The sequence below is a fragment of the Homo sapiens genome, chromosome 2 (assembly GCF_000001405.40).
Source record: "Homo sapiens chromosome 2, GRCh38.p14 Primary Assembly".
In the NCBI taxonomy this organism is placed as follows: Eukaryota; Metazoa; Chordata; class Mammalia; order Primates; family Hominidae; genus Homo; species Homo sapiens.
Genome location: NC_000002.12, coordinates 105,351,408 through 105,375,878, shown reverse-complemented (window position 1 = coordinate 105,375,878; position 24,471 = coordinate 105,351,408). Strand labels below are relative to the sequence as shown.

Below are 24,471 nucleotides of genomic sequence, written 5' to 3'. Positions count from 1 at the left end.
AATACTTTAAGCTAAAAATACAAAAGACAGGTTAGCCCTCTGCCCCCAACTCCCAGTGCATACCCAGTTTGGGTTCTCAAGGATGAAGAGGGCTTGGGCATTTCAGCAACCTGCCCCCGAGTCCCCCTGACAGGCAGTGCCTACCCCAGGGGACCCACAATACCCAGAGGTGCTGGGCTCAGGTGAGAATGAATTCCGCAGAAACAAGGGCATTTAGTCCAGCTTTGAGAGCACTCTATGCTCCTCTCACCTTCATTCCTTTTGTTTTGAGACTGAGTCTCCTTCTGTCACCAAGGCTGTGCAACCTCCACCTCCCAGGTTCAAGCGATTCTCCTGCCTCAGCTTCCCAAGTAGCTGGGACTAAAGGCATGCACCACCACGCCCGGCTAATGTTTGTATTTTTAGTGGAGATAGGGTTTCGCCATGTTGGCCAGGCTTGTCTTGAACTCCTGACCTCTCCTTCATTCTTTATCGTCTTGCGTCAGCAATAATCCTATTCCCAGATGTTCTAGGAAGCAAACTTCCAACAGGGATAGCACAAGAGGTCACCCCTCACAAAGGCCATAGTCATGACTGTCTTCAAAGTGTCTCAGCGTTCACATTTTTAAAATTCCTTGAACTAAAACAAAATGCGCAAAGAGATCACTAAATCAAATAACTAGTTTGGTTCCAGGTTCCGGGAAAACACACATACATGCACACATGTGCACACGCACGCGCACACACACACACACACACACACACATACTTCAGCAAAAGAGAACTGTTTGTTCTAGTTTTGGTTCCGAGTTAGCTGGTGTTTTAGGACTTTCTAATCAAGGCCAAGATCCATGTCTTCACATCCTACATTCAGCATAACTCCAGCTTCGACTTCGGTTTCAGTAACAGAGACATCGTGGGCAGGCTCTTCTTCAGGGCCATCGCGTGAACAGCCCTCCTGTGCCCTGTTCAGGATACCTACCAACTGGAAGCCTGCCCAGGAAACCGTGCAGAGCCTAATACTCTGTTTCTGCCTCATGTATAAATGGATGATGATTTGGGGTCAGAGCTGGGAACACAAAGACAGCAATAGAAACATATCCTTTCTAAGATAAAGCTGGGCATAAAGAGATTGTTATTTTAATTTTGTGTTGGCACTTTAAAAATGCCGTATGTCATTTTTAAAAGGCAAATATGGAGGGTTCTCTTATTCCTCAGGCAAGATGAAGCCAAGTGTGGAGTCGAGTTTTCTGCGGGGCTCCTTTCTCTCCCTCATCTTTTACTCAAAAGCACACGTCTGTCTTCTCAGGGCCTCTCTCATGTGTGCTCAGTTTTTGTCTCACTTCTCCCACCCTCACGCCCCTCCACTCCCACATCCTTACCCGTCCCCCAGTCTGAGCACTTCACTCTCCTGTTGAAAAGCAGCTGTCCACTGCCTTCAGGATCAATGGAATCTCTACACAGACATAAAAGGCAAAAAGGCAGCCATATCTTCCAGTCCAGCCAGGCCGGGGGGCCCTCCCACCTCGCCCCTGGCCTGTGGTCCCTCCAATCTGACATGCCCCCCGTCCCCAGATCTTCTGTGTCTGTGCTCTTTCTCTGCCTGAAATTCCCTTCCTCCCCCAGCTCACGGCCACCCACAGAGGTAGCACCCACACACACAGTCTCTCCTGACCGTCTCCCACCAAACAGTCCTTGGGCCTCCTGTGAACATCCCGACACCCAGAGCCTCTCTGCCATGCCGGTGACCACAGTGATCTGAGTTGGGCAGGGCTCCCTCAGCCAAGGATGTCCTGCAGTCTGTTTCTCTGTCACCGGATGTGGTGTGAGACGAATTGATAGGTGTTCATGTTTTCTGTTTCTCTTTCTTGCAGGCAATACATAAGGGAAATCCCTTTGTTTTTTAGAAGCATCTCTCACACACAGACATGTGCATACATGCACATCTGTCTAACCTGTTGCTCTAAAATGCAGCAAGAGAAAAGCAGCCTAGTCTTAATTGATTTCAGCAGTTAGGTGGTCCTGGGGCATGAATGTGGGTGCGCCAGGGTGCCTCGGCCCAACTTCTTTCCTTGTTTGCCCTGCAGATTCGCAAGGGGCCCCTATGCTGTGGGTCCAAGCCCTCCTGTCCTGCCTCTGACTGTCTTGTGTGGTCTGGCCCCACAGGACTTGTCTTACAAGGACCGGCACTGGCATGAAGCCTGTTTCCACTGCTCGCAGTGCAGAAACTCACTGGTGGACAAGCCCTTTGCTGCCAAGGAGGACCAGCTGCTCTGTACAGACTGCTATTCCAACGAGTACTCATCCAAGTGCCAGGAATGCAAGAAGACCATCATGCCAGGTCAGGAGGCACTCCTTTCTCATGCGTGAGCCAGTCTAGCTTCAAGCCTTGTGCACGTTCCTCTGACCCCCTGTTCACATTGACTTGGTTCCAGACACTCGTGTTGACTTTCCAGTTTGACCTTGAACTGCAGAGGAGTATTTAGAGTACTTACGAAGCAGGGACATACAGGTTCTATCATGGGCAGTAACGGGATCTTTTTGCTGTGCACGTGGGGCAGTGTTATGCAGTCAAATTGTTAGAGTAAGAAAATGGTGGGTATCCCCCTTAAAAATACATCTCCTGCATCAGCCCCCACTCTCCCACCACCATAGATAGTTTCTCTTTTCTTCCCTTCTACCTGCTGAATTTGTACTCATTCAGTTATTTCACCAAGTGTGCATGGTGCCCTTGCGTGCCAGGCACTGGGCTCGAGCTGAGCATTCGTAGGGTGTGAGCCGAGGTGCACCTGGTCCTCTGCCCTTGTAGAGTTGGTGTTCTAGACGGACAGTCAAAAAGGGCACAGCCGCAACTGGGCCAGGTGCCGAGGATGGCAATAAAGGTGCCTTGTGTGTTGATGGGACTGTGTCCCTCATGGTTTTTTTGTGTGTGTATGTGGGGGGAGTTATTTGTTTTGTTTTGTTTTTTATGTAGGAGAGCAGAATCTTTTATTTTAAAAAGCAAAGTGGACAAAAATATGTGGAATTTCAAAATACAGAAAGAAGCTGGGTGCGGTGGCTTATACCTGTAATTCCAGTACTTTGGGAGGCTGAGGTGGGTGGATCACTTGAGGTCAGGAGTTTGAAATCGGCCTGGCCAATGTGGTTCAGTGGTGCAATCTTGACTCACTGCAACCTCTGCCTCCCAGGTTCAAGAGATTCTTCTGCCTTAGCCTCCTAAGTAGCTGAGACTACAGGCGTGCACCACCACACCTGGCTAATTTTTGTATTTTTAGTAGAGATGGGGTTTCATCATGTTGGTTTGCTTTGTTTTTGATAATAAAGAAATACTGAAGAGACTGACATATGGGAAATAGTTTAGAAATATATGTAGGATGCCAGGTGTGGTGGCTCACCCCTGTAATCCCAGCACTTTGCAAGGCTAAGGAGGGCGGATCACGAGGTCAGGAGTTTGAGACCAGCCAGGCTAACATGGTAAAACGCTGTCTCTACTAAAAATACAAAAAATTAGCCGGGCATAGTGGCGGGCGTCTGTAGTCCCAGCTACTCGGGAGGCTGAGGCAGGAGAATGGCCTGAACCCAGGAGATGGAGCTTGCAGTGAGCTGAGATCACGCCACTGCACTCCAGCCTGGGTGACAGAGTGAGACTCCGTCTCAAAAAAAAAAGAAAGTTATGTAGGATAAGGAATAATCATTTTTTAAAAAGGCAAGGAGGTAATCTGACCTTTGGTAAGATGGTTTCTTACTGCCACTACATTTCTCTGGTTAATATAACTTTAAAACAACTGTGACACACTATGACAGGGAAGAAAAATGCCCAGGCTGACACAGTCCCAGCCCTGTTGGCAGCTGTAAGGGAAAACAGCTGGAAGGGCTGCATGGTGACTTTAGATGGGGCAGCTCCAGGCAAGAAGGCCTCTTCTAAGATCATGTGGATCCTGCAGAGGCTGGAAACTCGGGCCCCAGTGCTGTGCGACAGTGCAAATGAGAATTGAAGCCCGTAGAAAGCCAGGCTGACCTGTGTCCTGCCCCACAGGGAGTCACTGCAGAGACACAACACTCAGTAACAATAAGAACCACGACATTAATTGAAAAACAAATTAAACCCTTACTAGTTTCCTGAACAAGGGCCCAAGGAAGCTTCCACTGGGGACTCTAGGGGCTGTTTAAAGACTTTAACTGTTAGCACCAACCATGACATAAAAAGTATGCATATTTCCCGGATTTTGAATTTTTCACCTGTCTTGACTTTCTGTGTTAGTCACGTTCTCCAGAGAAACAGAATCAATCAAGGAAATGTATACACATAGATACATACATAAGGAGAGAGAGAGAGAGAGAGAGAGAGAGAGATTTCAAGGGATTGGCTCATGAGATTGTGGAGGCGGTAAGTCTGGAATCTATAGAACAGGGCAGCAGGCTGGAGGCTCAGGGAAGAGATGATACTGCAGTTCCAAATGGGAGCATTTGAATTCCGTAGGGCGGCAGGCTGGAAACTCAGGCAGGGTGTGTCTATTGCAGTCTTGAGAAGAATTAGTTGCCCTTAGGGAAACCTTAGTCTTTGCCCCTAAGGCCCACTACCGATTAGATGAAGCCCGGCCCTGATACGTGGGTAACGTGCTGCACTCGAAGCTTGCTGACTTAGATGTTAGTCACATCTAAAAAACACCTTCACGGCAACAAGTAAACCTGTTTTTTGACCAAACAACTGGGTACCAGAGCCCAGCCACGCTGACACATAAAATTAACCATCACACCTTCCCTTTCTCATGGTGTTTACTGGGGAGGGAAAGAAAAGAAAAACATGATCAGATAAGAAGTAAAAACCTAATGTTCAGTGAGAGGTAACCCATACTGAATATCTGAGAATTAACTGGCCGGCAGCCTCTTCTACTAAGGAATGGGGGAAGCAAGAATTCAGGCTCTGTGGTAAGAAATGCTGTGTAGTAATAATAACAACACAGCTACAGCTTCCAGCCCCTGAGCACACACACAGGCGTCAGACCCTGCTGCTTTACAGAATCCCATTGAATCTTCGGTGTTCCCTGGGTTGGATGGCTTCATCCCCATTTTACAGGTGCCTCTGCCAGAAGAAACGGACTGGGCACCAAAGGCAGGGCGTCTAGAAGAATCCCGGTGTATGCAAAACAAACCAGCACCGACAAAACACTGAATCAAAGCACTTGCTTGCCTGGGTTTGATTTTTAAAAGTGTTAGAACCCATTCAAGATGAATATGGGTTTACAGCGTCAGTGCACAGCTTTTGCGGTGAATTTACATTTAGAGGACAAGTGAAAAACTCACCCACCAGCTCCACACCCCCCACACAAGTCAGTTTCCTGATGACCAATCAGGAAACTGGAATACCATCAGTAACCCCAGTGCTGGGGTTTACCGGCTCTCGCGCCCCTATTAGCAGACGTTGCTTACAGATGCACCACAGCCTCTGAGCAGACTCAAGTAGCGATTCTGTCTCCAACCCTGCAACCAAATTTCTGGCTCCTCATTTGACTTTTTTTTTTTTTGAGCCAGGATCTCGCTCTTTCGCTCAGGCGGGAGAGTAGTGGTACGATCACTGCTCACTGCAGCCTTGACCTCTCGGGCTCAAATGATCCTCCCACCTCAGCCTCCTACGTGTCTAGGACCTCAGGCACACACCACCACACCCGCCTAATTTTTTTTTTGGGGGGGTAGAGACAGGGACTCTCTATGTTGCCCAGGCTGGTCGCCAACTCCTGGGCTCAAGAGATCTCCCGCCTTAGCCTCCCAAAGTGCTGGGATTACAAGGCTGAGGCACCGCAGCCAGCCTCATTTGACTATTTGAATCAGATTAAGACATCCCTTCTTCAAGACTGCGCTTCCGCCTGCGGGAGACTTGGTTCAGAGTGTGCGATTCAGTTAGGAGAAGGAACGCTCCTGCCACCTGCCGGTATTGCTGCATATGACCATGCAGGCTTGCGGCCACTGCTGTCGCCATGCCTGAGGTGCACGCGCCATGTCCCTGAGGCTCCAGGTGCCCTGTGCATTCCCTGCACGTAGAGTTGCCCTCGAACTGGTGTTGATCTGATCAGACTTATTTCAGAACTCGACAAGAATGCCATGAGAGTCATAATTGCCCCATATTCATTGGCAAAATCCTTTGGCTTCTGGGCTGCTTGATCAGAATGAATGTCAGAGATCCAAAGAGCAAGTGACAAAAGTATGCATGGAGGTTGAAGAAAATCTTTGTGAATTCAAAGTCCTTCCACTATTTTTACTTGAATTTCAATTGCTTCATGTAATGTTTGTTTTAGGATTCATCACCCCACAATTGAATTCCATAGATTGTACAGCTTAGTTTTGAATTAAAAGATCGCTGCGTGTCACCATCCCAAATTCCCTCTCACACATTGCCCCCCAACACACACCCTGCTTATTTTATATAATCTCAAATGTCTGGTCTTGGAAGTACAGGAAGCTGAGAAAATGATCCTAAATAACAATCGTGATAATTCTCAGCACATTCCTAATTACTGGAGGACAGACATTTCATGACCAACTTTCTAGCCAGCTAAAATACAACCCCTAGCTTTGTCCTTGGGACCATAAGATTTTGGGGCTGAGAGCTATGGACTAGTCTATAGACTCCTATAAGCCACCTGTGTTACTGCAGCTGCTTCCACCTGGTCTGGAGCGGGGCAGTCCCTCTGTCGGCTTGATTCCCCATCATTCCCTGACCCCCAGTTGAAGTCACATGTATGTGACCCTCATGCCACAGTCCCCAGGGATTGGCAACATTTTTCCTTCAAAAATCAGATAAATATTTGGGGCTTTGTGGACCATACAGTCTCTGTCACAACTACTCAACTATTACAACTACACAACAACTGCACAACTGCACACAGCTGCACACTACTCGGCCGTCTAGCTTAAAAGCGGATGTAAACAATGGAAGTAAATTAATGGGCGTGGCTGTGTTCCAATAAAACTTCATTTGAAAAGCAGGCAGCAGTCTGGATTTGGTCTTACACAGTGGCCAGGCCCCTCAGCTAGTCCGGGCACTTACAACACTTTCCTCTTTCTTTGTCCCTGATACTTATTTCCCCAGATTGTTCTTTACCTTTGCTTTATATGAAGGGTACTTGTTTATACGCCTATCTGGAATCATCCGTTACTATAAATAGATACACTTCTTTCTGGCAAACAAAAATGAAAAAATGTCAGTCAACAGACACCGAGCACTTGCAGTGAGTCCAGCTTGGTGGTGGCAGGGGTGACCCATAAGTGTTTCAGTTCTCTAGAGCTCCTCAGTTCACTTGGAGAAATGGTAGAAATGTATCAAATGCTAATAGTTATTCAAAAGACAATGGATGGCGTAGGTTTAGGCAATTACTAAATGGGATGTACAAGTAACACATGAAGATTTCAGCCAGGCATGGTGGTGTGCACCTGTAGTTCCAGCTACTCAGGTTGAGGCAGGAGTTTCCCTGGAGCCCAGATGTTCAAGGCTGCAGTGAGCCAGGATCGCACCACTGCACTCCAGCCTGGGTGACAGAGTGAGACCCTGTCTCGAAAACAAAAAAAAACTACATGTAGGTTTTAATTATAGCACTTAGTACAGTGCATAAAACTACCTAGATACATCACAACTTGGTTCAACAGGCAGTATGTAAAGTGAGTGTTGTAGAGGCTGCTCACTGAATCAGGTTCGAGGTTCCAGGTTCATTCACACTCTAGCCATTTCCATCCTGCTGTGAACCAGACGGGGTGTTCATTATCAGGTGTGCAATAGGTGAATACAGTCCCTAGACTCCAAAAGTCATGCTCCATGGGAATTCATCGGAGCTATGCCACACTTCTCTTTATACTTTGCATTGCTGAGAGAGACTTAACTTTTTTTAGATTTAACATTCCTAACCACGGTATTCAATAAATAAATGTTAAGTGCCTAAAATGTACACGTGTTGTTCTAGGAGCTGGGTGTACAGTAGTGAACCAAAAGACAAAGTCCACGCCCTGCACAAAATAGGAATTACCTCCATGTAGAGGCGAGCCTTCAAGAGCTGAAGTGGCTTGCTCTGGTCATAAAACTAGAGGGCAGCAAGCTCTGAAGGCAGATTGCTGGGACTCCACACCCCTCTAACCATAACTCTGCTGTGTTCCTCTTGACCCTGATGACAGGTACCCGCAAGATGGAGTACAAGGGCAGCAGCTGGCATGAGACCTGCTTCATCTGCCACCGCTGCCAGCAGCCAATTGGAACCAAGAGTTTCATCCCCAAAGACAATCAGAATTTCTGTGTGCCCTGCTATGAGAAACAACATGCCATGCAGTGCGTTCAGTGCAAAAAGGTATCTCAGATGCCCCCTTGGCCCTTGCACGTTCTGGCTGGTTTGCCTCCATGGTCCATGTCTGTCAGTTCTCTTTCCAAAACCAAGGATACCTGTGATACTTAAGTGGCGTGGGAGCTGTGCCTGTCCTGCCTTACATTCTGAGCATTTATCCATCGGGTCTGGGTGTCCATCCTTCTTTCAAAGACATCAACATTGTTGAGCTCTGTGATCAAATCGTTTAACCCTGCCTTCTTCTAGACCATTTCTAAATATGTTCTTATGTTGATAACCTGAGGTTAGAGGGAAGGGGAGCCACCATCCCAAAGCTGTCTTGTTCAGCTTCTCTCCATGAATAAAACAAGAAAACAACTGCAAACTTGAGAGGGAGAGAAAGATGGAAGGAAGAGGGAGGAGAGGAAGGGAGGAGAGAGAGACGGATGTGAGAAGAAAAGTAAAGGAGAAAAGTCTGCCTCCATGGATATGGGACAGATCATTTATTAAATGTATCTACTCTGGCCGGGCATGGAGGCTCATGCCTGTAATCCCAGCACTGTGGGAGGCCAAGGCTGGTGGATCACCTGTGGGAGGCCAAGGCTGGTGGATTACCTTAGGTCAGGAGTTCAAGACCAGCCTGGGCAACATGATGAAACTCCATCTCTACTAAAAATACACAACTTAGCTGGGTGTGGTGGCACACGCCTGTAGTCCCAGCTACTCAGGAGACTGAGGCAGGAGAATCACTTGAACCCGGGAGGTGGAGGTTGCAGTGAGCCAAGATCCCACCACTGCACTCCAGCCTGGGCGACTGAGCGAGACTCCATCTCAAAAAATTAAAAAAATAAATAAATAAACTTATCTACTCGATAATGTGCTATTCCAGTCATGGCTCTGTTAGGGTTAAAGAAAGAAAGGGAACTGCATATCTGTAGGAAGCCATCTCTCTGCCCAGTTGCCCCCCGACCTGCACCCTTCAGGGTGTAGCTTAGTTTTCTGCTGTGCCCTCTGACTCTTAGACACACGCAATTCTTATTATGCTATAGCTTCCAGCGTCTCTGTCCTGTTAGGATTTGCATCAGCCTGTTGAGTGGCACCCTCCCACTGCTCACTCGCCCTGGGCAGCGCCAGCTGTGGAACTCATCACAGGTTCTGTTCGCTCTCCTCCTGTTATTGACTCTGCTCACCCAGCTTCTGCTGTTTTGCCCTTGGGGCCTCTACCCTTGCGTCTGGGCCATGGAGAAACATCCCCAATGCTGCTACCTGTACCTGGCTGGCCTGGGCAAGAATATCCCCACCTTGCCCACACCTTTTCTAAGTGCTGAGTATTCTTACCAATTTCCATTCAGTCTTTCTCTCATTTCCTTTTTTTTTTTCTTTTTTTGAGACAGAATCTCACACTGTCGCCCAGGCTGGAGTGCAGTGGCTCGATCTTGGCTCACTGCAACCTCCGCCTCTTGGGTTCGAGCAATTTCTCCTGCCTCAGCCTCCCAAGTAGCTGAGATTACAGGCGTGCGTCACCATGCCCAGCCGGTTTTTTTTGTATTTTTAGTACAGACGGGGTTTCAACATGTTGGCCAGGCTGATCTCGGAACTCCTGACCTCAGGTGATCGACCTGCCTCCACCTCCCAAAGTGCTGGGATTACAGGCGTGAGCCACCATGCCTGGCCCCATTTGTTCTTTACTGTTATTTTAAATTTTATTTCTCTTTATTTCCTCTCCTTTTATGCTTCTGTTTTTTTCTTTTTTTGAGACAGTTTCACTCTGCCACCTGGGCTGTAGTACAGTGGCATGATCTCAACTCACTGCAACCTCTGCTTTCTGGGTTCAAGTGATTCTCCTGCCTCAGCCTCCTGAGCAGCTGGGATTACAGGCAGGTGCCACCACCAAACCCACCTAATTTTTTTTTTTTTTTTTTGTAGTAGAGACGGTGTCTCACTTTGTTGGCCAGACTGGTCACAAACTCCTGTTTTTTTCTTTATTCTTAGATTGAGCTCTCATTCCTGCTTTTATTTTAGGAACCCTCTTCCCTGTTCTCTCCCCTTTTTATTTTTATTTTGGTTTGTTCTTCTCATCAAGACCTAACGGAAGTTCATCTGAGTTGCTCTTCCTCTGTCATCTTTCCAATGTGTGCTTTATTCATTTGCAGAAATGAAAGCAACACATCCTTCTGGGATGCATGCTTTTTGTGTGCATGTTCATTAAATACACAAAAACATTCATGCCAGAAGCATCCATTCCTCGACATGAACTTGGCCCTCTCAGGCACTGGGGATCTGATGCTGGACAAGATGCAGACACTTAACTGTAGTCTAGGTGGAAGTACACTCCAGTGTCAAACCCGTCAGTAGTTACTGAGCAGTGTGCTATGGAGGAGAAGAGCAGAGTGTGGAATGGAGGGACCTCAACTAATCTGAGGAGTTGGGGGCCAGGGTGGTGTTGAGGGAAGGAGTCTCTGAGAAAGTCATGCTATGCTCAGAGGCATTGAGTTAGCTGATGTGGGTGGGAAGCATGGAATCCGGAGCAAGGGAGGACTGAGGACACATGTTGCAGGCAGAGATGTCTTACACACACAGGCTACTGCATTCACATGGATACGTTGCAACCAAGCGTGTTTGGTGTTCATTCTCTTGTGCAGTGGGGTGGGTTATACTAAGATGCTTCATGATTTATGGTTTAATGAAAAGAATACAAGATAGAAGGGAGTCCAGAATTCTAGTTCCTGCTTCGTCATTAACCAGCTATGAATTCTTTGGCAAGTCACTTTTTAATTTCTCTGAGTCTCAGTTTACTCATCCATAAAATTAAGATAATATCTTTCCTACTTCACAAGCTTTATGTAAAGACCAAAGGAGTTACTGCATGATACTGAAATGTTCAAAAAATAAAAAGCAAAAAAGTGTGATTGTGAGGTGCTTGCACTCCATCTTCCACAGCCTTCGTTTGCCAAGCTGAGGCCACCTACACTCCTCTCTGATAGCTTACTCAGCTCCACCAAGCACTCATTTTTAAATAGAATGTGAGATGCAACATTTGGAGAAAAATATCAGGTAAAATTGAGGTACTGATGGCCAGTTCCACCTCATGTGGCTTTGCAGCTTCACCTCACAGATGTTCTAAGACCACAAGACAGGTGAGAATGAAGGCATCCAGCTTATTTTTCCCAAAACTTCCAAGATGCCCATCTCTTCTTGTGGCATCAGCAGGTGCTAGTCCCGGCTGTCCTTTAAGCCTCTTCCTTCTTTCACCGTAAGTGGCTGGAGAGACAGGCTCGTGAGTGGCATTGGAGAGGTTACCACTTGCCAGGGTTTTTGTTTTGTTTTGTTTTGTTTTGTTTTTGAGACAGTCTCACTCTGTTGTCCAGGCTGGTGTGCAGTGGCATGATCTTGGCTCACTGCAACCTCTGTTTCCAGGGTTCAAGCGATTCTCCTGCCTTAGCCTCCTGAGTAGCTGGGAATACAGGTGCACCACCACACTCAGCTAATTTTTTGTATTTTTAGTAGAGATGGGGTTTCGCCATGTTGGCCAGGCTGGTCTCGAACTCCTGACCTCAAGTGATCCACCTGCCTCGGCCTCCCAAAGTCCTGAGATTACAGGTGTGAGCCACCAGCCCTGCCAGGCTTCTAAGTAAGGACTCCTCATCAACTTGCCCAATTAACCTCATCACCCTCACTTCCTGGATGAGAAAACTGAAGTGCAGAGATCTTTATCATGACCTGCTCCCAGCCACAGGGCTGGTAAGGAGTAGGGTTAGGATTCAAACCCAGGTCTCCTTGATGCTGTATTGAATCCCGACCCCTCCACTGTGCTGCTTCCCTGCTCAGAAAGGTGGCAACACCACTGAGGCACCCTATGCCTTAGATCCCCAGCATCCCTGGGAAGGGCTGAGGGCAACCCCAAGCTCCAGTTTCACTAACGGGAAAGCCAGGGCCTATGACACTGGAATGAAAGCGTGTGGTGAGGGTGACGAGTGACTGTGAAGTTTGTAAAGCAGCTTCTTGGTGACTTAACAAACTGGACGTTTCTGGATGAGGATCTTGCATCGTCCAGTGGCAGTAGCTGAGACTGAAGATGTCTGCCAAGCACAGAGGCCACACTAACTCTCCCCCTCGTCCCTGCAGCCCATCACCACGGGAGGGGTCACTTACCGGGAGCAGCCCTGGCACAAGGAGTGCTTCGTGTGCACCGCCTGCAGGAAGCAGCTGTCTGGGCAGCGCTTCACAGCTCGCGATGACTTTGCCTACTGCCTGAACTGCTTCTGTGACTTGTATGCCAAGAAGTGTGCTGGGTGCACCAACCCCATCAGCGGTGAGTGTCCCGGGGTTCCCATTTCCAGGGGCGATTGGAAGCTTGAACAAGGCCTAGCATTTTAGCCTGTGACCCTGTCTATATCCCTCAACTCCCCAGACCTCCCTAAGGCTCTGAACACAGCAGACTTTTCTGCCTATCTGCTTTCCTCTCCTTGGTGCACTGGCTATGCTTCAGCAAGTAATGATTCCTTCCTCTGCAGCCCACCTGATCACAACCATATGGCCAGTGCTCCAGTTTAGTTTCTGCTTTGGGTTGGATTATCGCTAAAACTGCAGTCTGTGAGCCTGTGACATCACAAAAGCACAATAAAAACTGGCCTTTTCAGGCTTAGCAGCTGTGCTGTGTTCTTAGAAGTGTCCCCTAGCATCTTAGTGGGACGGTTGTACTCCAAAACATCTTAATGGGAAACTTCTACCACAAGGCCATAGCTATATGAGGGCAGAGGGTACATTCTAAGGAGTTTTTCATATTGTATTCCCCCAAAGAATTCAGCTAAGTGAGAGCCCAAAATCTGGCTGGCTGGCAGACCAGGCTTCTGGACTAGACTATTAAGCAGGCTGGAGAAATTCAGTGTGGAGAACAGAGGAGTTCACACTAAAGTCCTTTAAATGGTCACCACATATCGCTACACAAATGAGTGACTGGGTGGGGAGAGAAAAGTGTGTGTTCTGTAATAACACAGGAGAAGTTTTATGATGTGGGATTTGCAATCCCGTTGCATTCAGTTGACTGGTTCGTTCCTATCAGAGGAAGGTGGCAGACACTTGGAGTACCCGGTGGCCTGGCTTTCCTGTGTGGCTTTTCAGTGTAACTACAGAAACACATCTATACACCCCCTGTGTACTTGTCCTTGACTTTCCTTTCCCTTAGGCCTAGAACCAAGTTCACCTAACTCAGCTAACTCACCTTCCCAGGTCGCTAAAACAGTACTCTCATGTGTAATGCAGAGCTCATTACATTTCCATGTGAAATTAAAATATGAAGAAAAGCACAGTATTTACACTTTACCTATGTTAAAATATCTGTTTCTGGTCATTTATATACCAGATTTCCCTTGGAATCTTTTAGGGGGAAAATGTAATCTTTTGCCAGAACATATTCATCTTTAATGCTGTTTTCAGCAGTAACTTCTGTTGAGGTAAATGTTTATAACATTAAGCTTTATAAAGTGATACAATCTATATAAAAGCACTTTTAAATGTAAAACATTAGATATGAATGTGAATTGTGGTTATTGTGGCACTGAGAAAAAACACTAGGTAAAAACCAACTGTATTATAATCACGGACCAATGTACCTTAAATATTTGATTCCATTCTATCTGTCTGCAGCTTTCTCAGGATCTTCCCACTGCGACAATATCCCTCTCCCCTCATTCCCACCCACATCGCACTTTATCTGTGAGGCCTTTCCTGGCCATCCCAGGGAGGATTAACCTTTTCCTCTTCTACACTCCCTTCACTGCTTCAATCATTAAGTCATAAAAATTTGAGCACCAGGCAACGTGAGGCACCTAGTGAAGACATAAGAGAAATCTGCTCCCTCTTCTCATGGAGTTTCATTTTGTGGGAAAACACATAACAAATACACAGTCAGCATTCTTTGATCGCACTTATCCCATCGTTTTGGAACCAGTTTATATATCTCTTCTGATATTCACGAGATCCTCCAGGCTGTGCATAGAATCTGATTTACATATGGATTCCCAACACCCAGTCACTAGAAATTCACATTATCCATATTACACAATCCAAACTTTGAAATGGATCAAACCAGAATTCCTTCTTCAGTCCCAGTTGCCTGATTCTAACTTTCTTCATCCGGTATTATTTTCTCTCTGTTAACAGGACTTGGTGGCACAAAATACATCTCCTTTGAGGAACGGCAGTGGCATAACGACTGCTTTAACTGTAAGAAGTGCTCCCTCTCACTGGTGGGGCGTGGCTTCCTCACAGAGAGGGACGACATCCTGTGCCCCGACTGTGGGAAAGACATCTGAATTCAACACAGAGAAGTTGCTGCTTGTGATCTCACACACAGATTTTTATGTTTTCTTTCTCACCCAGGCAATCTTGCCTTCTGGTTTCTTCCAGCCACATTGAGACTTTCTTCTAGTGCTTTTCAGTGATACTCACGTTTGCTTAAACCCTTTAGTGCTTTGTGATAGTTCAGTCCCAGGGAAAGAGAAAACTCGCCCTAGGCCCTAGGTGGGAAGATGGTTTGAAATTTTTGTAATCGAGTAAGGCACACCCAAATGTAAAAATCCTTTTGAATGATGCCTTTATAAATCTTTCTCTCACTGTCTATTTAAGTGCAATTAACATATGTCACGAACTTGAAAGTTTTCTAAACTCAATAAGGTAATGACCAGTTGTTATTTACAGCTCTGTAACCTCCCGTTGCGTCAAGTCTAAACCAAGATTATGTGACTTGCAATAAAGTTATTCAGAACAGAATCTTTTGCCAGGCACAGAGTGTGAAATCATGATTACAGGTCGAGGCACTGAGTCTAAGTAACACTTTATTGCATGGTCCCATGGTCACTGTATGAAGTGCAGTTCCAATGTTCCAATGGCCTGGGGCATTGCCAACTGGAACAGCATCACACCCTTTAAAGGAAGCCTTCGGCTGGGCACGGTGGCTCACGCCTGTAATCCCAGCACTTTGGGAGGCCAAGGCGGGTGGATCATGAGGTCAGGAGATCAAGACCATCCTGGCTAACATGGTGAAACCCCGTCTCTACGAAAAATACAAAAAATTAGCCGGGTGTGGTGGTGAGCGCCTGTAGTCCCAGCTACTCGGGAGGCTGAGGCAGGAGAATGGCATGAACCCGGGAGGCAGAGCTTGCAGTGAGCTGAGATGGCACCACTGAACTCCAGCCTGGAAGACAAAGAGACTCCGTCTCAAAAAAAAAAAGCCTTCAGTCAGCACCAGGCACCTCTTCCTTGCTACCTTCTCTCCCTTTTTTTTTTTTTTTTTTGAGACAGAGTCTCGCTCTGTCGCCCAGGCTAAAGTGCAATGGCACAATCTCAGCTCACTGCAACCTCCACTTCCCGCGTTCAAGCGATTCTCCTGCCCTCAGCCTCCTGAGTAGCTGGGATTACAGGCACCCACCATTATGCCCGGCTAATTTTTGTATTTTTAGTAGAGATGGGGTTTCACCATGTTAGGCTGGTCTTGAACTCCTGACCTCAGGTGATCCACCTGCCTCGGTCCCCCAAAGTGCTGGGATTATAGGCATGAGCCACCGCACCCAGCTACCTTCTCTGTCTTTCCCATACTCTTTCTCTTGGAATGTAATCCTCTGCATTTGACACAGTAACATAAACTGACAGTGAAGCCAATTTTCAGGTCATTTTTCTTGGCAGAGCTTATCGGCTCTGTCCCAGTGTTATGGATCCACATCTTACACCGACTTCCATAAAGTGAAAGATTGCACAAGGACATAAGCAACTTGAGGCCAGAGACGACATCCTGTTCATCTTTATGTTCTCAACACCCTCGCAACTGAGGGCACACTGGGAGCCTTCAGTGTTTCTGAAAAGGGCAGTAAAGCAGGAGAGACACACAGTCATTACAGTAAAAATAACATTCTGAGCTACTAGTGTGGCAGTAGTCTGTGGAATAATCTCAGATAGCAGTATACAGTTGGGAAGCACGGAGCCAATGTATGGGATAGAACATTGCACAGTTCTCTTTAGAATGGGAGCATCAGTGACCTTTTTGTCCTTAGTTTTCTAAGACAATGCAATATAATAAAATGATAGGCTGAGCAACAGAAAAATTTGGTGGAAATCAAGTCTGATATATGCTGAGCATATGTGAAATCAGTTTCTTAATCTGAGTGTTAGTCACTGTTAGAATGTTTGATAATGTCTGGAATGAGTCTTTTGGTTTTATAGTTGACTTGAGGTTTTGCTTAAAAAGAATAATTTCATCCTTTGTTAGTTGTTTTGCTGTTTTCTACTTCATAATATAAAAGTAAAAGCACTCCAAATTTCATTTTGGAACATCTTACTTGTTCCTCATTAAAACCATAGACTCTCCCAACCTTAAATTACCCATTCTAAAATTAATGGTTAGGGGGAATTCCACTTCTAGTAAATAGCTCCAATTGGACTAATTCTCCTCCAAATTAACAGTCATTCTGGACAAAATATTTATTTAATTGTTAAGAACACTGGAGCACGATCCAAAGCAGGCAGATATTGGAGGGCAGTAGACACTTGGAAGAAGAGAACGACACTGGGTGATTTTCCTGTTTCGGCCTTTTATCCAATGGCAGGCCCCCGCCAGGGATCTAAAACTCTGTTAGGAAACCTGCAGTCTTACTGGCCTGAGGAACCAGAGGCCAGAGTTCGGGACAAACAGCCTCTGGAAAGTGAGGAAGAAAATCCTGAAAAGGAGAGCCCCAAGTTCGTCGCATGAACTTAGAAATTTCTGGCTGACAACTGAACCGTGTATACTTAGGCCAGACTCCAAGCAGCCCAGCCAAGGCTAAAAGCATTGACTGACAGGACTTTACAGATAGTGGTTTGCAGGGCTTAGCTGACCGACCCTCTTCCTACTGAAGGAAATTACTTGTATATAAACCACACAACACAAAGTCTCTGAAAATTTCCCCAGAAGCATACAACAAATAAACATTCATTCAGGAAAATCCACTACTAAGTCTTAGAAAGAACAGTGAGTCTGTGGCATTTGAGCCACAGCCTCATCCTATCCCATCCCCACTCCCCAGCTTCATGTGACAAACTCTATTCTGGACCAATGCAGCCAAAAATTAAGGGGTCTCTCTTCCTCCAGCTACCAGTCTAGGGCTTTGCCCCAGGTGCGACAGGCTGAGAATCGTAGAGCTCCAATTGCCCCTACCCTAGCCTGCTTAGTGCGGAGGCTCCACATTGGGAGGGGCAATCTGAGAAGACCAGCGGCTATCAACCCACTCACAGAGAAGGGATGTCAGTCCTGGAGAAGCAGGCTGCTGTCCAGCCCCCAGAGGAGATCCAGGCTCTGAGACTGGTAACCCAGCAGTTATGCCCAAGGGGACTGGTATTTGGTACGGAGAACGAGAAATCTTTGCCTAAGGGGATTGTCAAAAACAATAAGACATCTTACCAGTGAGCCATTAAGGAAGGGGCTGGTAACTCCATGCTATTAGTAGCAAAAAGCAAAATGACAGACCAGCCAGAAGTTTAACACAGAAAACCAGAGAAAGAGATAGCCAAGAAGAGCCCTCCTGGAATCTGGTTTATCCTTGAGGTTCGGGAAGTATGTATGGACAGGGCTGTATCCACTCAGGAGCAATCAGATGTGAAACAAACTTGAAAGCATTCTCTAAGGCATACACAGATCCATCAGCAAAGAGCAGAAATCTTATTAGCTCAAAGTGCTTAAGCAGAACCTCTGACCAAACACTGGCTGAACACATAAATGTGTTTGTTCAAAGAACTAAAGGAAATCATATTTAAAAAAGGAAGGTAAAGGAACAATTACAGTTGTTCCTCCATATCCATGGATTCCTCATCTGTGGATTCAACCAACTGTGGATCAAAAGTATTTAGGAAAAAAAAAAAAAAGTTGACACAGTTCCAAAAAGCAAAACTTGGATCTTCCACATGCTGAGTACTATGTTGAATCCATGCAAATGAAGTGATGTGTAAGCATTGTATTAGGTATTATTATAAGTAATCTAGAGATTTATTTAAAGTATACAGAATGATGTGAATAGGTTATATGCAAATTCTATGCCATTTTATATGAGACTTGAGCATCCATGGAGTTTGGTATTTGTAGGGGGTCCTGGAATTAATCCCCCACAGATACCAAGAGATGACTTTACTCACCAAACAAACCAATAAAGAGATAAAAATTATTTTTAATAAATCAAATGGAATTCTGAAGTTGAAAAGTATACTAAATGAAATGAAAAATTCACTAGAGGGGCTCAGTAGTAGATTTGAGTTAGGAGAAGAAAACCAGTGAACTTGAAGACGGAACAACAGAAATTATACAATCTGAAAAACAGAAAAAAGAGTGAAGAGAAATTAAAAGAGCCTCAGAGAAATGTGAGAAACCATTAAGCATACCAACATATGTGTAATGGAAGGACTAGAAGGCTAGGAGAGAGAAAAAAAGAACAGGAGAAAATATTTTTTCAGAGTTCATGACTAGTCAGGTGCAGTGGCATGCGCCTGTTGTCCCAGCTACTCAGGAGGCTGAGGTGAGAGAATTGCTTGAGTCTAGGAGTTTGAGGCTGCAGTGTGAGAAAACAGCACCTGTGAACAGCCACTGCACTCCAGCCTGTACAACATAGTGAGACCTTCTTAAAAAAGAAAAAGAAAAAAAGAGTTAATGGTTGAAAAAGGCCCCAAATTTGATGAAAAATATTAATCTACATATTCAAGAAGCTCAATAAACTCAAAGTAAGATAAATGCAGAGACCATACCCAGACACATTACATTCAAAATGCTGAATGCCAAAGATAATGAGAAAACTCTGGCTAGATGTAAAATAATATAGCTATATAATTAAGACTTTTTATTAAATTGGGAAATTAAACATACATATACAAAAGTACACAAAGCAAATGTCAACAGGCAAAACTAAACCAATGAGATGTTGGAATATTCTGTATCAGGGGTTGTAAACTATGGTCCCTGGGCTAAATTCTGCCCACTGCCTGTTTTCTTTCCTATTTTATTTTTTTGAGACAGGATCTCGCTCTGTTTCCCAGGCTGGAGTGCAGTGGCATGATCACAGCTCACTGTAACCTTGAACTTCTGGGCTCAAGTGATCTTCCCACCTCAGCCTCTCAAGTAGCTAGGGCTACAGGCACGCACCACCATGCCTGGCTGTGTGTGTGTGCCTGTGTGTTTTGTTGTTGTCATTTTGAGACAGAGTTTTGCTCTGTCGCCCAGGCTGTAGTGCAGTGGCATGATCCTGGCTCACTGTAACCTCCGCCTCCTAGGTTCAAGTGATTCTCCTGCCTCAGCCTCCTGAGTAGCTGGGATTACAGGCGCCTGCCACCACGCCCAGCTCATTTTTGTATTTCTAGTAGAGACAGGGTTTCACCACGTTGGCCAGGCTCGTCTTGAACTCCTGACCTCAGGTGATCCACCCATCTCGACCTCCCAAAAGTGCTGGGATTACAGGTGTGAGCCACAACACCTGGCTGATGTCTATTTTTAAAATTTTTTTTGTAGAGATGAGGTCTCACTATGTTGCCTAGGCTGGTCTCAAACTCCTGGGCTCAAGCGATTCCCCCCATCTTGGCATTCCAAAACGCTGGGATTACCAGCATGAGTCATCACACCTGGTCTGTTTTCTTAACAAAAAAGTTTTATTCAAACACAGCCATGTATGTTCATTTACGCATTGGTTTGCTGGCAATTTTTTACTATCTGGACCTTTACAGAAAAACCTGCCACCTGTGCTGTACTGTGTATCTTGATCTGGGTAGTGATACACACACACACACACACACACACACACACACACACACACACACACAAAATTTTTTCTCCTGAGCTATATAACTTAGAACTTTTCTAACTTTACAGCATTTTATTGTAACTCAGTAAAAATTTTAAAAGTTTAAAATATGTTACACTTTGAACTTGAGTGCACTTGAGTACACTCTGAGTTACTTTAAAGCTTGTCTTTTTTTTCATTAAACAGCAAGCCAACTTGTTTGATCTTTACTTGATTATTACAATATGTGAAACCTTTGGGGGTCAGTCTCTACTGCCTGATGTTTCTGTTGCAGCCCACACTGGGTCCACTGTTTTCTTGTATGCAAGGATAACTCTGACTTGTGTTAATCACTACCTTTAAAAAGTTATCCGGGGTGTTTCTTGAGACTTAGAATAAGGATGTCTTCCTGCAGAGACGATTGTCATTGTCTTTACCAGACACATGGGCTACCACCAGACTAGAACTACTTCCCAGTCATTTCCAGAGTTACTTTCACCTTCCTGGGGATGTAAATCTTAGCTACAAGTCTGTATGAGAGTCGGCTTGCCTGCCTCCACCCCACTGTGTCCCCTTTCCCTTTCCTATTCTTCCTTCCTTCTTTTCCTTCTTTTTCTTCCCTCCCTCCATGCATGAAAAGGAAAGATGTATTTCTAATTCACACTTATATGTGGTGGTGTTTTTTGAGGTCATACCTATTAGGTTCCCCTCTTGGAACACTCAGAGATTTGACTTCTCTCTCCCTTACATTACAGTCACCTAAACTACAGCTGAGTTTCAACAGAGCATCAAACAAGATTGCCTGCTTCTCTGGGTTCTTGCTGTCTCTTAGCCTGTCAGCTCTTCTGTGCTTTTATGTTTGAAAAACCCATGTTTTTTCCCAGCAGAATTGCTCCTTCCATTTAACAGCAAGCATTTTTCTCTGTTTAGCAAATGAAAAACCTAATTATAAATATTGTATTAGTTACCTCTACTTTGTTACACATTCTACAATGTTAAGATTTACGTTGATCACATCTATTTCATTGGCTTAAGGTTTAATTTAAATGCACAACTACCTTGTAGAATAAATTACATACTTAAACTTTGTGATAATATTTAATATTTAGGATATTATAAAATTCTTTTTTAATTTTTTTTTTTTGAGATGGAGTTTTGCTGTTGTCGCCCAGGCTGGAGTGCAATGGTGCGATCAGGGCTCACTGCAACCTCTGCCTCCAGGGTTCAGTTGAGTCTTTTGCTTCAGCCTCCCGAATAGCTGGGATTACAGGCACCTGCTACCATTCCTGGCTGACCTTTTGTATTTTCAATAGTGACGGGGTTTCACCATGTTGGCCAGGCTGGTCTCGAACTCCTGACCTCAAGTTACCAGCCCACCTCGGCCTCCCACAGTGCTGGGATTACAGGCGTGAGCCACCACACCTGGCCAGGGTATAATAAAATGCTTAATAGAACTAGTCTACCCTCAACCGGAACAATGAAAATTTAGTCACTGAAGTAAGTCAAAGAAACAGTTTCACTGATGAGGGAATCATTCTACATGAACCATAAACAAGGCAAGAAACTCATTAAATATATCTGCTGTGGTGCAATGTGCCCTGGAACTACAATGGTTACTACTCCCTCAATATTGCCCTTAGTGAAAGCTTTATCTCTGGAAAAACTTTAGAGAAATGCCTGCAAAAGAACTCAGTGGTGTTAATAGAGCAGAACTTTAGAAACTAGCAAAGAAAACCTTGTGATCACAAAAATGAAGCCCGAGGTATATGTATTGAACATTGTTGACTTGCTACAACTAGACACTATCCAATTTGTAAGCAGAGGGCTGCCCTCAAGTCTTTAAGTCAGCACAATAAATAAACCCTAACTCCTTTGGACAAGACTTTGTAAAACTAGTTATATTAAAGCAAAATAAAAGTTATATTAACTTGCATATCACTTAATCATATTACTTTAGAAACTTAAAATATATACTCAATTCTCAATCATCTTTAGTGATGCCCATTCAGACTTGAGGGTACCTCTCATTTTCTGCCTAGTTATTAAATGATAGATTACAGAGGCTCAGGGATAAGGATAAGGTTAATTCTAGAAATACCAAGAAGTAAGATCTGGAAGAGTCTTAAGGATAAGAGTGAAATCCATCTGCTTTGCAAAGGAGGAAGTGGAAGCCCAGGAAGAATAAAGCTTACTCAAGACTGCAAAGAGGCCAACACACTAGAAATCAGAAATCTTGACTCCTAGCCCACCGTCCCCTAAAACATGGGCTTTTTTCTTACACAGAGATGAAGATGGGGTAAAAACTAAATACATGAGTTTTTAAACACTGAGATGGAAATGTCCAGGTGACATACATGCCAAAATGTATGTAGTGACCTTTCAGTGAAAAAGAAAAAAAAATTGAGACTAGAACTCCATTATAAAAATAAGAGCAGACTGACTTCATCCCTGACATCTATTAGCATTTATGCATTTTACTCACTACGTTCTGAGGGTGCTATGGTTTGAATGTCTCCCCCAAAAGTTCATGTGTTGAAAACTTAATTGCCATAGGAACAGTATTAAGAGATAGGGCCTTAAAGAAGAGATTAGGCCATGAGGACTCTGTCCTCATGAATGGATTAATACCATTATCACAAGGGCAGTTATTATGGAAGTGATTTCTTGATTAAAAAAAAGAAAGATGAGTTCAGCCCAAGTTCTTCTGTGCTTTGCATACTCGCTGCTGCCTTTCTGCCTTCTGCCATGGGATAACCCTCACCAGGTGCCAGTGCCATGCTCTTGGACCTCCAGAACTGTGAGCCAAATAAACTGGTCTTTATCAATTACCTAATCTGTGGTATTCTGTTATAGGGAGAGAAAATGGACTAAGAGAGGATCTTCTACAAGAAAAATCCAGTTGTTTGTTTTTGATGGGTTTCTCTAGGCTTCAAGGAATTAAAAAAATATAACTAGTAAACTACCTAGTGCACAGAATACTGCGACTTTAATTGTTAAATGTTCTTCAGATTCCTTCTCAAATTTTTATCTAGATTGAACAACTGGGATTAAGAAGAAGAAAAGACCCAGCTGGGTGCGGTGGCTCAAGCCTGTAATCCCAGCACTTTGGGAGGCCGAGACGGGCAGATCACAAGGTCAGGAGATCGAGAACATCCTGGCTAACATGGTGAAACCCCGTCTCTACTAAACGTACAAAAAATTAGCCGGGTGTGGTGGTGCGTGCCTATAGTCCCAGCTACTTGGGAGGCTGAGGCAGGAGAATCGCTTGAACCCAGGAGGCAGAGGTTGCAGTGGGCCGAGATCCTGCCACTGCACTCCAGCCTGGGCAACAGAGCAAGACTCCATCTCAAAAAAAAAACGAAAAAAAAAAAAAAAAAAAAACCCAAACAAACAAAAGAAGAAAAGGCCCTTGCGGACAGGGACCATGTTTTATTTACTCCATTTCCTTATTTACAGCCTAAGTACAGACACCTTAAAACTGTTGAATGGATGTTTGTCTAGGGATTTATTTTGTTGTTGTTAATAGAGAAAAGTCTATTTGACATTCTTTTTCATTAAAACAAAACTGTGAAACTATCTTAAATGATATGACTTAAGCAACATTAGAAATGAGTGGAGTCTGTAAGATTAAAGGCAAAAGGAATGAACATAATCACTCTCATCTAGCTGGTAAAGTCATTTCTCACATGGGTAGAGGCTAACAATTCTGCAACCTCTATACATGTGTACTGCAATTGAACAATTAAGTAAATGGACGGTGGTTGGTAGGAGCCATGTTTCTCACTGTTGGAGTGGGAGGTTCCAGACATGCAAGGGAAGTCTGGAATGATCAATATGGTAATAGATTAGAGTTAGAGACATAGTATGAACTCATGTTTTAGTTACTATAGATACAGATGGTTACATATAGAAATATCTATAGAAATGTACACCTATAGGGGTTAATATAGGTACATATATTTCCTTGCTCTGTCAGTTGAGGAGGCCTAAAAACAATGACACCCCAGTAGCAATCAGCATACTTAGTACCCAGATCTCAGTTTTTAATAAAAGGAGCAAAGGCTCCTTAGAGAAATGGCTCATTCTACGGCTTGAGCAAGAAATATACAAAATGACGCTAGAGCATCCTATAATACCAGAAAGGATGTGTTCAAAGAAAACACAATCATGGGATAAGTCACAGGGAAACGGGAGCGAACTGAAAGAGCTTTCAATGGCCAAAGCAGAAAGAACTGGAGTTAAAAAACAAAACAAAACAAAAACACACATTAGACTTTAACCCAAAATATAAAATAAGTATCCATGAGTCATACTGACATAAATCATTAAATAAAATTAATGGTAGAGAATACTTAAGTCTCCTGTGCAGAATTCCAAATAATTTAGGTACTTCACCAGCAAAG

At 44.7% G+C, this 24,471-nt stretch overlaps 2 protein-coding genes across 15 annotated transcripts in view, besides 3 other annotated features; one reads left to right on the top strand and one right to left on the bottom strand.

The window, feature by feature from the left end:
• FHL2 (four and a half LIM domains 2) overlaps positions 1–18,167 on the top strand; it is an 80,818-nt gene extending 62,651 nt beyond the window's left edge. For 5 of the 11 annotated variants that reach the window (NM_001374399.1, NM_201557.5, NM_001318894.1 and 2 more), the window contains 4 exons: positions 2,146–2,320; positions 8,140–8,309; positions 12,408–12,594; positions 14,445–15,053. In NM_001374399.1, coding sequence (NP_001361328.1) covers positions 2,146–2,320; positions 8,140–8,309; positions 12,408–12,594; positions 14,445–14,596 — 684 coding nt within the window. In that variant the 3' untranslated portion in view covers positions 14,597–15,053. Of the gene's footprint in view, positions 1–2,145; positions 2,321–8,139; positions 8,310–12,407; positions 12,595–14,444 lie in introns of all 11 variants that reach the window. The other 6 variants (NM_001318896.2, NM_001039492.3, NM_001318899.2 and 3 more) reach the window with 2 other exon arrangements.
• C2orf49 (chromosome 2 open reading frame 49) overlaps positions 1–24,471 on the bottom strand; it is a 48,360-nt gene that overhangs the window by 10,021 nt on the left and 13,868 nt on the right. For 2 of the 4 annotated variants that reach the window (XM_047445805.1, XM_017004892.3), the window contains one exon: positions 15,102–16,134. The exons of the other annotated variants lie outside the window; for them this stretch is intronic. The gene's annotated coding sequence lies outside the window, so the exon portion shown is untranslated. Of the gene's footprint in view, positions 1–15,101; positions 16,135–24,471 lie in introns of those variants that run through there. 4 annotated transcript variants of the gene reach the window in all.
• Positions 1,705–1,984: an enhancer, noted in NCBI's record as "active region_16316". NCBI's record gives its function as "activates an Ori minimal core promoter by ATAC-STARR-seq in GM12878 lymphoblastoid cells {active_cell/tissue: GM12878}" and the evidence as "EXISTENCE:reporter gene assay evidence [ECO:0000049][PMID:35858748]".
• Positions 5,468–5,967: an enhancer, noted in NCBI's record as "H3K4me1 hESC enhancer chr2:105986369-105986868 (GRCh37/hg19 assembly coordinates)". NCBI's record gives its function as "activates a minimal SCP1, AML or CMV promoter by ChIP-STARR-seq in naive H9 embryonic stem cells {active_cell/tissue: H9 hESC(naive)}" and the evidence as "EXISTENCE:reporter gene assay evidence [ECO:0000049][PMID:30033119]".
• Positions 5,968–6,469: an enhancer, noted in NCBI's record as "H3K4me1 hESC enhancer chr2:105985867-105986368 (GRCh37/hg19 assembly coordinates)". NCBI's record gives its function as "activates a minimal SCP1, AML or CMV promoter by ChIP-STARR-seq in naive H9 embryonic stem cells {active_cell/tissue: H9 hESC(naive)}" and the evidence as "EXISTENCE:reporter gene assay evidence [ECO:0000049][PMID:30033119]".